At 46.7% G+C, this 14,141-nt stretch overlaps 1 protein-coding gene across 1 annotated transcript in view; it reads right to left on the bottom strand.

The window, feature by feature from the left end:
* Positions 1-7,997: 7,997 nt before the first annotated feature.
* Positions 7,998-14,141, bottom strand: part of NSG2 (neuronal vesicle trafficking associated 2) — a 63,474-nt gene continuing 57,330 nt past the window's right edge. Inside the window, exons 4-5 of the mRNA NM_015980.5 lie at positions 12,839-12,949; positions 7,998-9,863 (exon numbers count right to left, since the gene is read on the bottom strand). Of these exons, the coding sequence (NP_057064.1) occupies positions 9,672-9,863; positions 12,839-12,949 (303 nt within the window). The 3' untranslated portion in view covers positions 7,998-9,671. The remainder of the gene's footprint in view (positions 9,864-12,838; positions 12,950-14,141) is intronic.

The raw sequence follows: 14,141 nt of genomic DNA, 5'->3' as shown, positions 1-14,141 counted from the left end.
CATTTTGCAGATGGAGAAAGTGAAGCTGGAAGGGTGATATGACCTGCCCATGGTCTCACAGCCAGAAAGCAGTGGAGCTGGATTCAGACCCAGTATCTGTCCGACTCGAGGCCCGGGATCCTCTACATGCTACCAATTTGCTGATAGCATCTTCATTTTCTCTCTCAAGAGCTCACTGGTCTAAATTGTGTTGGTTTTTTTTTTCCTTTTTAATTAGTTGGACAATTTGCATAGAAGGGAATAAATTACCAACATTGGAAGGCACATCTTCCTAATCAGATGTGTTTATTTAAAGCGGCGGGGGGGAAAGCCAGCCGGTGGAGATGTCAGTGATGCTGTAGTCCGGCAGGAGACTGAGACTGGGAGAGGGCTGCGAGGAGGCTGGAGGAGGCCAAGAAGGGCACAAAGGGGCCCCACACCAAGGTGCAGGGGCATTTGCCTGGCACTGGACTGCAAGTCAGGTTCACCACTCCCTGCAGGTAACCTCTCTGAGCATCCATTTCTTCATCTATTCAATGAAATAATCATGACACTCAGGTTTCCTGTCTGGAAACCCAAGTGGTTGGTGAAGTCATCATCCAATTTAAGGAACACAGGAAATGGAGCATATTTGGGGGAGACATGACAAAGGTTTTGGGGGACATGTTGAGTTTGAAGTTCCTGAAAGGATATTCAATTAGAAATAGCCAGAAGGAAGAGGTGTCTATTGGTATGAATCTCAACAGAAAGATCAGAGCTGGAGATAGATGTTTTGGAGTCATTGGCATAGAGATCATTTTTTCATCTATTGATTCAAACATCCATCCAGCAATTCACAGACAAGTAATCAGAAGATAAAAATAGGTTGTGGTAATTCTGCTAAAGAGGGATATACAGGATTCGAGGAAACTACAGTGGAGGATACTACCTAGTTTGCGAAGATCAGGGAAGACTTCCTGGAAAAAGTGATGCTTGAACTGAGTCCTGAAGTATGAACTGGAACACAGTTGATGGATGAGAAAGCTTGGAGGCCAAGGCACTTTCTGGAGAGAGCTCACCTACGGGAGAGCCAGGTTAAGCATCATGAGCCCAGCCATAGTTATAACCGATCTTAAACCAGGTATGGTGTCCACATGGAAAATGGGTTTCATTTGTGTATGGGGCAGGGCAATTCCACTGTAACAAACCCCAACATTTCACTAATAATACTGTAAAAGTTATATTTTACTCAGGCAACGGCCCAACGTGGGCAGCTTTATGTGGCTCTCGTCCACCCAGAGATTCAGGGATCCAGGCTCCTTCCAGCCTGTAGCTCCATCATCCCCTAAGGCCTGAGAGGCCTCAGCTTCCAGATATTACAGGGTAGGGAGGGTTGGTGTAGAAGAGAGACTAGAGAAGCACCTACCACTTGCTTAAAAATGACATCCTAGAAGTGACACACGTCACTTCCACTCACATTCGAGTGGTGATTCCTAGTATGTCACCAAGCTTGAAGCAAGAGGGGCCAAGAAAGAAAATCCCCCACCAGTCATGTCCTTCCTGGAAACAACTCCATGCTATGAACAGGGGTCATGAAACACTCTAGAGAGCCAGAAATCTCTGTCACTATCAGCATCAAATTGAGTAGCAGAGGGAGCACAGAGAGCTGTGCAGGGAAAGATTACTTGGCTGCAACAGGGCTCAGTGGGAAAGAGCGATGCGACTGATTTGCAGAGCCTGCCATGGGTATAGATAGGAACAGGTATAGTGTGTGTCAAGCATGACAGCCATTACTCAGATTTGTCTTCAGTGCAGCCCCCGTGGAGTCATGCGTGGGACCCACGTGGAGTAGCACAAAGGTAAGGGTGCTGTGGATAAAACAGAAAGAACAAAGAACCATTTTGGTTAAAATTCTGTGGGATACTGGAAGCAAAAGCAATCCTGCAGTGGGCCGCTGATAATGGAACGAAGTTCAAAAGAAAAAGAACACCTCTGGCCGAAGTGGAAGCATCTCCTGCGCCCAGGAGTTCAAGGCCGTATGAGCTAAAGTCATGCCACTGCATTCCAGCCTGGGTGGCAGAGCAAGACCCTGTCTCTAAAAAAATAATAAATAGAATAAATAAAATAAGAATGCCATCTTCACTTACTCCACTGGATCCTGAGGCAACTGGAAACTGCAAGAACTCCTGGGCATCTGTGGAGCTGTCCATCAGAGCCTGAGAACATCTGGGCATCCATGGAGCTCAGAGGAGCAGCCAAGTCCAGCAGGTACACACCTGTTCTTGGGCACATGTGAGAGTCCACCTGGGAGCTCCCAGAAATATCTGTAGCGGGCTGATGAGTGAGATCTTTACAAGGGGGTCAGGATCCTGCATGAGCAGATGGGAGTAGGTGTCTATGACGTGTAAGAGATTATTGTTAATAAGTCCTCATTGTTACTCTAAGTGATGAGGCCTTGGGAAACTCAGCTTAAATATAATACAACACATTGCCCCTTGCAAAAATGTTAGCCTTCAGAAAACATGAAGTGGCTTTATATATGAGCCCTTACAATTAAACACAAAGATGCTGTACTCTCAAACGCAATGTTAGTGACTCAGAAAATGTCTCTAACAATGTCAGTTCTAAATGCCAAAAAACATGTGTCTGAAGTGACTTCACATGTACACTAGAGATGAATGAATAAGTAAATATATTGTAAATAATAGAGACATATTTCCCACTGTCAGAGAAAGAAATTACAAGCAAGTGAAGAGGGAATCCTAGAAAAAACCTTATGGTTTTGCATTAGAGTAAGAGGGATTAAAATACTCATGTTTGTGAGACATAGATAGATAGATAGATAGATAGATAGATAGATTGATAGATAGATAGCTAGATAGATAGATAGATAGATAGATTGATTGATAGATAGATTGATAGATAGATAGATAGATAGATAGATTGATAGATTGATAGATAGATAGCAGACAGACAAATAGACAGATGTATACACAGGCTAGTATACATCCATAACTTCCTAGCTCTGTATACCAAGAAAGCGTGGAAGCAATGACACCCTGCAGCAGTGAGCACAGCTAACATCCAGAACTGGGTTTCTAAATGTCATTCCCTCATCAAAGGAACCAGGGCTCCCTGGGGACACAATCGATTCCAGGACTGAAAAGGGGAAAATATAAGATGAGCCTGGAGTATCTTGTGGTGCCAGAAAATTAGGAACTGTTAAAGGGATGCATCAAAAAGACACGTGAGCTAACCTGAAACAGCACTCAATGACTAATCAGAAACAATTTGAGAAACAAAATAAAAATCATATTAGATTTTAATCCAAAGAATAAGTAAATATTTATGAGTCTATACTAATATAAATAAATGATTGAATAAATAAATGTGGAGATGGGACAACTCTTCCTTATAGAGGAATTCCAGTTTATAAATGTACAAGAAATGGGGGAAATATAAAATTGCTATGAGAACACTATAACGGTAATTGCTGCAGGTAAGATCCATTGATGAACACTAAAATTAATGTGTGAAAGAAGAAATAGAATATTCGCATTGTCCTCAAAGGAACTTCCCTCAAATTTTTACTAATTACAAAGAAAAAAATGTAACTTGTAATAGAGAAACCTGGCAAATACCACCTAAACCAAGGGGTCAAGGTTAACTTTGCCAGTAATAAGACACATCAATATCTTGTACTCCTGATATGACGCTCTAAGAAGGGCACCTCCGTGAATTCTTCCTCCAAAATCCATATCTTCAGTGTGATCATGGAAAAATGTCAGACAAAATTGAGAGATAGGCTACAAAGTACCTGATCAGCACATCCAAAGTGTCAAGGTTGTGAAAGACTAGGTAAGGCAGGAATTGTCACAAATCTGAAAAGACTGAAGAGACAACTAAATGCAGTCCAAGGGCTTGGATCAGATCCTGAAACAGAGAAAGGATTTTAGTGGAAAGACTGGTGAGATTTGAATAAAGTCTGTAATCTTGTTTTATTTCATTTATTTATGTATTTATTGCTTGTTTTGAAGTGCATGTAAATAATTTAATCAAAATGGTTTTGGAAAATGTGACAGAGACCTCAAAGCAACACTTTATTTGTAATCTAAAAATGATGTATTTGTGCCCATCAATGATAGACTGGTTACAGAAAATGTGATGCATACACACCATGGAATACTATGCAGCCATAAAAAGGAATGAGATCATGTCCTTTGCAGGGACATGAATGGAGCTGGAGGCCATCATTCTCGGCAAGCTAATACAGAAACAGAAAACCAAACATGGCATGTTCTAAGTGGGAGCTGCACACCGAGAACCACGTGGACACAGGGAGGGAAACAACACACACTGGGGCCTGTCTGGGGGTGGGTGGGGTTGGGGGAGGGAGAGCATCGGGATAAATAGCTAATGCTTGCTGGGCTTAATACCTAAGTGATGGGTATGGGTCGATAGGTGCAGCAAATCAGCACGACACACATTTACCTATGTAACAAACCTGCACATCCTGTACCTGGACCCCAGAACTTAAGATAAAATGAATTTTTTTTAAGATGATGTATTTGTGTAACTAAATGTAGCAATTAAAAACTGTGAGTAGACATGAAGAAAATGGGGCAGCCTGTGGCTTTGTGTGGTAGATGTGGCATATGTGGTAGGTGACATGAGGCTGCCCTGCGAGGAATGGGACAGGGCCTGGGAGCTTCCTGAGGGCAGGCAGGAGGTAATCCGTTTCTCTGTTATAGTCACTTCAAGGCCATTGCCTTATTTTAACCCACAGCAACCCTATTGGTGGTGGGGGGGCAGTATTTACAAGTAATTCCAATTTACAAATAAGGAAGCTGAGGCAGAGAGATTGATCCACAGTAGCTACAATTTGTCCAGTTCCTGCTCTAGGTAAATCTTTAAACACTATGTCATGGAATTCTCACAAAATGAGGTAGGAACAATTCTTATTCCCATTTTAAAGATGAGGAAGCTGCGGTGTGAAGAGACGAAGGGAACTGGCAGAGGCAGGTGCAGGAGTCGCACCGGGTCCCAGGGCTGCCTACTCTCCTCCCGGGTCCAACCTCTCCTTGTGCCACCGGCCACACCCCCAACACCTGGCCCAAACCCAGCGAGGCTCTCACCAAGGGCCTGGAATTGAAAAATAAATTATGTAAGCTCAGTCCACAGCCTCTAGACAACATTCCCTCAGGAGATAGTGAGGCAGAGACAGAAAAAGAGAAAGATTAAGAGAAAGAGAGGAGACAGTGAGGAGAGAGAGGAGCGGGGAGTGTCCAGAGAGAGAGGTGCAACCACCTTTGGGGGCTACTTTGACTAATTGAACTCTAGATCTGTGTTTCCAGAAACAGGTCATTTCTGACAAAAGGACAGACTCAGATAAACAGCCTGCTGTTCTAGACTGAGTCTGATCTATGGGAAACGGCATTGACGTTGCCATGGAAACGAGTCCTTTTCTCTCCACTGTCCAGGAGTGCTATTTTTTAAAGAGATGGTATTGTGTGCTTCTTGGAAGAATTATTGGGGATCAATTTCTTCTTCTTCCACATGACTCCCCGTTTGGATTAGAGCACATTGCAGGAGTTGAGGGAAGATAAATTGACCAACAGCAGTTCTGACAGGTGGCCTTTCAATTTTCCAGAAAAAATGTGTATCTCGCTAAATACCTTCTGATCCGACCGGCCGCTGGGATGACTCCGGGCGCCATCACTGCTTCTCCCCAGTATGCAGCCATGGGCTGCTCTTTCATCTCACTCCTCCTCTCCCCCAGCCTGGACTGTGAGCCCAGGGGTACGGACTTGAATCTTTGCCTCTGGCACTGGCTTGGGGGAGGCACCCCAGCAGCCTTATGAGCAGAAGCCCCGAGCTTTCCCTCCTCCAAACCTTTACAATGCTGTCCCCATTACCTGGGAGGATGGCTCTGTGGTGTCTCTCCTCCACCCTCCCGAATTCTTCCTGTCATAGTGCAGCCCGTCCTTCAAGGCCCAGTTCCAAGGCCAGGTCCTCCCAGAACCCAGTCTGACACCCACACAGACATGCCCTCCCGCCTCAGAACTTCTTGCCACACACAGGCCCAGCCCAGCCACCCTCTCTGCACAGCCTTCATCCTGTCTTATCTGGGGGGATCTCTGGGGAGGTTCCCAATGTTGGTGAATAGATTAAAAAGCAGGCAAAACACACAAATAGAGCTTGATCTACAAACCAAGGTGCTGTTTTTAGGATCATTGCCTGGCTCCCCTGACCCTCCATCAGCCAGCAGGGCTCTGTAACACCCCATCCTGCAAAATGCAGAGGAGATGTCCCTGGCCAAACCCCCTTTGGTTAAACTCTTCTAACTGATGCCACACTCCTTGGATATATTCATGGGAAGAGTTAGGCATCATCGTCTGTTCCAATAAGGATAGCACTTGGCCCCAGAGTCACTCCTAAACCAGAAATATCTGCACCCATCTCCTGGCCCTCTCATTCTCCCTCGTTTCTACTCATACACCCATAGCCTGTTCATTCCAGAGAAGTGATAGCTTTCTTACTTTTTGAGGCACTGGAGTGGCAAATCCACTTATGACAGAGTGTTTGTACATGTGTTCATTAAGCCTTTCACTGATTCTGTGTAATTGAAAGACATGTTGGGTGTTTCTGTGCTGGCTTTGTGGATCAGCCAGGCTTTGTGGGTAGGATGCCAGCTCCGATCCCTGCACTCTCCCACTCACCATCTCCCAAAGCCGGGCTGGAAACCCGAGGCTGTATGGGAGTGGGTAGGGTTGTCTGAGGCCCTGTGTTCAGCAGCCTGTGCAGCCCCAGCTGGGAGGTGCTGCGTCGTCTCCCTTCTCTCTCCCACCCACCATGCATGTTCAGCCCCAACCCCTAGCGCAGCAACCCGCTTGGAGACTCAGCTTCCAACTCTGCCCAAAGTCAACCCTGGTCTCTTCCTCAGATGGCCTGCCATCCACGTTAGAGAAGATGTGTGAGCACAAACTATAACCTACAAAGCAAGATGCAGAGATGCATGGTCACTGCTGCATGGCACAGTGCTTAAGACCCTGGTACCAAAAAGGTGTGGGCTTCAGTCACAGCTCTGCTGCTCACTGACTGCGTGACCTCGAGCAAGCTGCTTCACCGCTCTGTTCCTCCAGTTCTTCGTCTCCAAACGGGGATGATGATGACAAAGCGGATGGTAGTGGTGCTGAAGGTGGAGCACCTACTTCACAGAACTGGTAGGAGGGTTGTAGGAACTAAGATACATGCGGCATTTAGTACTTGGCATGGAGCACAGGGCATTTAAGTGTTGGCTTTTCTTCACAGTCACCATTGATACCGAGTTCTGGCTGAGAATCAGCTAATTCACTCTTACAGCTGCAACTTGACTTTCTGGAAAAGTAACTAGGCAGTGTTGCTCAGGGTCTGACATGGAACAGAAGTAGTGTGGGGGTGCAACGGAGTCCCACAAGCCTGGGATTGGACCCCCCACTGCTCTGTTACAGCCCTAGTACAGTCTCTTTTTCACCCTCTGAGCCTCCATGTCTTCATCTGTCTAATGGGGTCAATGACCCCTACCTGCCAAGGTCATGCTAAGTCCTAAATTAGCAATTTAAAAAGGGGTCCTCAACATCTTCCTCCTCAGTTGCAGCTAATCACCAGTTGCATTAAGTCAAAGGCATTATCACACCTTTATTTTCATATCTGACTCCATCGCCAGACCTCAGGGCAATGATTCTCTGTCATCCGTTTCTGTATCCCCCATGCCCAGCACAGCCTGGCCCTAGAAGCTGCCCAGTAGGCATCTGCTGCATGAAGGACATTGAGCTGGCAGATAAGCAGCCAGGTACACCTCTTGGTCCTTCCTTAGGACCACAACACCATCTCAGGCCCCAGTTGCCTGAGGATGGACATTCCCCTACAGTCCAATTCTAGCCCCAGCCCAACAGGACACTGTAGGGCTCACCCTGCCCTCCGGGACCCCCACCCCCAGCATCTTCCCCATCAGGCTCACTGAGCAGGAGATAAAGAACATTGCAAAGGAAGGTCAAGACTCTCAGACACATCTATCTTTATTTGTTTCCTGTCAGAAAATTTCAAGAATTACACCAAAAAATACTTCCGCCTCTGCTACCTACTGACAAAAATACACCACAAAATTATAAAGCGCTCAGCGGTTTTGCTAGGGACAACTTGTTATTCCGCTTTGAATGACAAATGAATTTACAGGTGACTCAGGGTGATTGGAGGTTGGGGGAGAAGGGAGGAAAAATCAGATGAGAGCGTTTGGCAGGATAGTTTGAGCTATGCTAGTCTTATTACCCAGCTGTTGCATACGATGATCTCAGCAACACAGCAAGCCACAAAAAAATACCCTTTACATGGCCTGTGGGAGACTTGTGAGGAAGCAGTACCACATCTCAAATAACCAATTCTCCCAGCTGGTTCTGGCCCTGTGGGTCCTGGAGCTGACACCCTGCAGAACTGGCCTCCCTGAAACATTTGTGAGAGGCAGGCGAATGCCTGATACGGTTCCAGGGAACTGGGAGGCCTGGTCAAGGCTGGATGCTGCCTCCTTGTCAGGAGCTTCTAGAACTCGGTTGGGGAGTTTGGACAAATGTCCCCTTTTAACACAACGAAGTGGGCAAAAGACAGTCCCATTTTTCAGCTTCCTTTAGAAACGATTTGGCATTGTGGTGGCCCCAACCTTCAGGTCTCTTCCTGGCTGTCACTTGAGGCTCCTGGTTGGAATCCTATTGTTGTTGTTATTGTTATCAGCACTTTGGGAAACAACAAACAAACAAAAACTTAAAAGTCAGGTGCCTGTGCTTATCGCTTGTGGCCTAGTGTCACATGCCTGTCCCGTGCCTTCCTTCTTGCAGCCGCACCTTCCTTCCCTCCCTCTCCCCCTGCTGCTGTCTCGTCAACATGGGCAGTATCCAGGTGTGGATCTAGAAAATGCAAGCAAAAGACAAAGAAAATCTGCCCACTCCTCAGCGTTTGCTGATGCAGAACCCACCGTCGCAGGGTGGGCATTCAGAGCCCAGGCCATGTGGGTCTGCCCAGGTCCTAGGATGGAGGCCCAGAAAGTTTGTGCTCATCTTGCAAAATGCACCAGAGGCCAGCACATTTCACTATGGGTTATGTGCGTTCTGGGCTTAGTAATGCCAAAATCAGCTCTTCTCTCCAGCTCGGCCATTCCTCATTTCCTGCGGGCCTACCCTGCAGACCACAGGCTAATGGAATAGTCCCGGTCTGTGTCACTCATACTCTGCAACCCTGGAGCCCCCACTGAAGCTACGTTTTCTTATCTAAGAAGCCCACAGAGTCTGTGCTCTTCACTGCCCTTCAACGTCTTCTGATGGAGCCAGTTTAATGCTTTTTGTTCATGTTCTTTGTTTCTTTCCTTTTCTGCTGTTACATTTTCCTAACAAAGAATAAGCAGTGGCTTTAAAAATATCTTACATGGGAACAATCAACACGAAACATGCCTTTGTACATGAGCCTGACTCGGCGACGAATCAACAATACCAAGGAACAAAAAGAAATATCGGTTCAGACAACTCCAGCACACACCACGTTTTTGGTGCGTTCTTCCCCCCACCCTGCCCTGCCCCGCCCCCGCCCCCATATCCCAGGAGTACAGTGTTGTCTTGTAACTGGAGCTTGGCTTAGCCAATGGGGGTCCTCCTCTCCACCCCGCCCCCCATTCTGGCTGGGGCAGGCCTCTAGTGGCCCTGGGTCTTGGGCGGCTTGGGCTCATGGATGACAGCGGCTGCTGACAGCCACGGCCCGATGGCCCGGGCAGTGCTCTGCTTGGCCACGCTGTAGTGGCTGATGACTGTGTAGAAGCGGCTTCTGGAATTGGGGTCCTGGGAGGAGTAGTAAGCATCCAGGGAGGCTGGGATACAGCGTTTGTGCTGGGGAAGAAAGAGACAGAGTCAGGGGTCATTCAGCAAACTGCTCCCAACCTGCCCAGCAACACAGCCACCCTGACTGGAGTGCAGCTGCATCGGGCTGTCAGCCAGAGGGCAGGTGACAGCTCCTGACCTGGGCCTGGCACGCAGCAGCCTTCCCAACACCAGCACCAGCACAAACAGCAAAGCTCCACTTAGAAGAAGCCAGACGACCTGAACCTGATATTGACACTGATTCAAGGCCAGCCTTCTCTGCATACTGACTGTCCGGCTGTAGTGGATGCTGTAGAGACCCCCACAGACTCCCTCTATCTGGCTGATTCACCTGTCCCCTTGTTGCCTCTCTGGGCTGTTGTTCACAGCCAATGACTATTTATTTCCTGTATTTTATACTTGCATCTCTTTTCTCTTATATCAAAAGTCTTGCCGGATGCGGTGGCTCACGCCTGTAATTCCAGCACTTTGGGAGGCTGAGGCAGGCAGATCATGAGGTCAGGAGTTCAACACCAGCCTGACCAACAGAGTGAAACCCCATCTCTACTAAAAATACAAAAAATAGCTGGGCATGGTGGTGCACACCTGTAATCCCAGCTACTCAGGAGGCTGAGGCAGAAGAATCGCTTGAACCCAGGAGGCAGAGATTGCAGTGAGCCGAGATGGCACCACTGCACTCCAGCGTGGGCGACAGAGTGAGACTCCGTCGCAAAAAAAAAAAAAAAAAAAAAAAAAAAAAGGCTTCATTCCTAACAACATTCATGTAATGATGTATTTGCATTATCCTACAATAAACATAGAACAGTCACAAAATAGCACCAATATGACTACTAAGAGGCAATGAACCTGGGGACTACCGGACGAACTTGGAGGTTTCTCTGCAACTCCATGTGTCCCTAGAATACACTCCACCAAAGGTGTGAGGCGAACATGCTGTCATCTACAACCGGTTGAAATATTTATTTTCTTTGCACGTTTATGTCCTTAACTTGATATAGAGCTAGGTTCTTTAAACAACGAACCTCTTGTTTTTTCTCATGTATTTATTTTTAAATATGTCAAACATTTACATATTTCAAGGACAAATATTTAAGAAGATAGATCCGAAGAAGCCTTGCGTCCATCCCTTCCTCCTGATGAACCATTTTTATTAATTTTTAAAATGTATCCTTCCTGAATTTCTTTCCAAAACAATAAGCAAATAGCACTCTCCTCCCCTTTGCCCACACATAGGCAGGACCTTCCTTCCATCACTCATCCTTACTGTCTTAATGAGCATTCTCTTTCCGTGTATGGAGGCCTGCCTTCCTCATTTTCCCAGTTGTAGTGACGTCCACTGGGTGGATGTGTCACAGTTTATTCAACTGTCCCCTACTGTTCCCATTGTTTTGAGTCTTCCAGAACCTCAGCTTCTTTTTTTTTGAGACAGAGTCTCGCTCTGTCCCCCCAGGCTGGAGTGCAATGGCGCGGCCTCGGCTCACTACAACCTCCACTTCCCAGGTTAAAGTGATTCTCCTGCCTCAGCCTCCCAAGTAGCTGGGATTACAGGCATGAGCCACCACGCCTGGCTAATTTTGTATTTTTAGTAGAGACGGGGTTTCTCCACGTTGGTCAGGATGGTCTCAGAACCTCAGCTTCTGACCACTTGGAGTGTAATCTAGGAAGGCAGATCTGAACCCCCTCCATGGAAGTCTAGGAAGTCAGATTATACCCTTGGTGGAGTGTATTCTAAGGACACATGGAGTTGCGGAGAAACCTCCACGTTCGTTCAGTAGTCTCCAGGTTCATTACCTCTTAGTAGTAACATTGGTGCTATTTTGTGACTGTTCTATGTATATTGTAGGATAAGGCAAATACATCATTACGTGAACGTTGTTAGGAGCCAAGACTTTTGATATAAGAGAAAAGAGATGCAAGTATATAATGGAGGAAATAAACAGTCATTGGCTGTGAGCAGTGGCCCAGAGAGGCAACCAGGTGATAGGTGAGTCAACCAGCTAGAGGCGGTCAGATTGGAGTGTAATCTAGGCAGTGCAGAACCGAAGTATACACATTTTCAGGCTGGCACACTTCCTATTTGATCTCCCCACATCAAAACATAATTATTGTGATGTCTTGGACAACCTTCTTAACTAAACACTCTCTACATTTAATTCCTCATATGTGAAATGGGAGCCAAAGAAACCCTATTTCTCAGAATGGTTGTACAGCTCAATTGAGATAATGTTTAAGGAAACATCTAGCAAAGGGTCTGATGTATTAGAGATACTCAGCAAATGGTAATTATAAATATTATCAGCTGTGTTCACTCTGAAACAGACTCTGTCTTTATTGCAACTAACATTTGTTGAGAGTTCATTATCTAATAGGCCCTTTGTTAACTGATTTTACTTAAATTCTCTCCTTAAGGCCTCCCAAAAATCCTGGGAAAAGGCATTATGAGCCCCCATTTTGCAGGCAAGAAAACGAGGTTCAGAGGGGCAAGAAAACTCCCAGAGGTCATGCAGCAGGTTCCGTTCTTTCAGAGAAGGAGTTTAATCAGAGTGTGGGTCAAGGGGAGACTTGGAGACAGAGCTTCAAAGAACCTCAGAGGCACCAGCCCTACCTTCACACCTCTGGAAGGCCACTGCAAGGGTAAGCAAACAGCCATTGAGCCAGGAAGACCCGCACCAAGCCGAGCTTTCCCAAAATGGAACAGTCCATGTCAAGAGGTAGTGAGCTGCTTCCCTCATTGCTGATGTGCCGTCCAAGCTGGACCACCTCCTGACCCTGGAGAGCACCATCTTGGGGGAGGAACTCTACTGCTTACTGGAGACTGAGTCCCTCAAGAAAACTTGGAAACTCCTTGCCAAACACATATTCCATTTTAAACAGTCGGTAGAGAGGTCGTCATACCCAGAATTTGGACACCAGTGAAGAGAAGACATTGATCAACCCTCTAACTGAATTTGATAGTGACCTGGGACTACTCAACCACCTCTTACCTTATAGACGAATCCCTCTGGGCAGCTGTGATCATAGGTGAAGGCTTTGTAAACCACCAGGAACACGATGCACGCAAGGAAAGCTAGGGCCAGGCTGACAAGGATGGTGACCTGGAGGAATACAAAATTAAGTCATCCAGCCTCAGTCTGCCCACCTTCAGTCCCCGTATGCAGCTTTCAGAGCCTAGAACTGGCAGGCAGCATGGTGTGCTAGAAAGGGGGACAGGCCCAAGGAACTGGCTCTGTCTTGGCTTTGTTACTAACTTGCAGTCTTTGGGCCTCTTTCCCCCTTCTGCAGGATAATCTCTGAAGCTCCATTTTTTTTGTTTTGGTTTTTTTTGTTGTTGTTTATTTGTTTGTTTTTGTGAGATGGAGTCTCACTCTGTCACCCAGGCTGGAGAGGTGGAGTGCAATGGCACCATCTCAGCTCACTGCAACCTTCACCTCCCAGGTTCAAGTGCTTCTCCCTGCCTCAGCCTTCCGAGTAGCTGGGATTACAGGTACCCACCACCACACCTGGCTAATTTTTGTATTTTTTAGTAGAGACAGGGTTTAGTAGAGACAGGGTTTCACCATGTTGGCCAGGCTGGTCTTGAACTCCTGACCTCAGGTGATCCACCTGCTTCGGCCTCTCAAAGTACTAGGATTACAGGCATGAGCCACTGCACCCGACCACTCCTTTCTGATTTAACATGTGATTTCCCCCTCATTTTCCTTTTCCTGATAACTATGTGGGATGTGGGGGAGTTGATCATTAAGCTGTCACTTCCAGTGCTTCCTGCTTTACATCCCCACCGCGCCCCAGCACTGGTGCATTGCAACCTCGGACATCAACTGCTTCTTTCGCCTCTACTTGGACATCTAATACACACTTTCAACACATTCCCAAACAGGATTCCTGCTCTCCTCCCAACTCAAACCTGCTCCACCTGCATTCTTCTTCATCTCAGAATATGTCAATTTCACATTTGCAGTCACTCAGGCCAAATATCCTGAAGTCATCCATGACTCCCTTTTTCTCAAACACCACATCCAATCTACCAGAAGAAACGATCATTTCTGCCTTCAAATACACCCATAATCTGACCACTTTTTACCACCTCAATCATGTCCAACCGGGTGGAAGCCATCATCATCTCTCACCTACAGCATCTAACAGCCTTCTAACTAGTGACGACTTCCTTGTCCTCTAGGGTGTATTCAGCACACAGCAACCAGAGAGAGCTTTGTAAAATCTAAAACAAAGCAGGGGCCAGGTGCAGTGGCTCACACCTGTAATCTCAGCACTTTGGGAGGCCGAGGT

The sequence above is a fragment of the Homo sapiens genome, chromosome 5, assembly GCF_000001405.40.
Source record: "Homo sapiens chromosome 5, GRCh38.p14 Primary Assembly".
NCBI lineage: Eukaryota > Metazoa > Chordata > Mammalia > Primates > Hominidae > Homo > Homo sapiens.
Note: the sequence above shows the minus strand (reverse complement) of the source record. Positions and strands in the feature narration are given on the sequence as shown.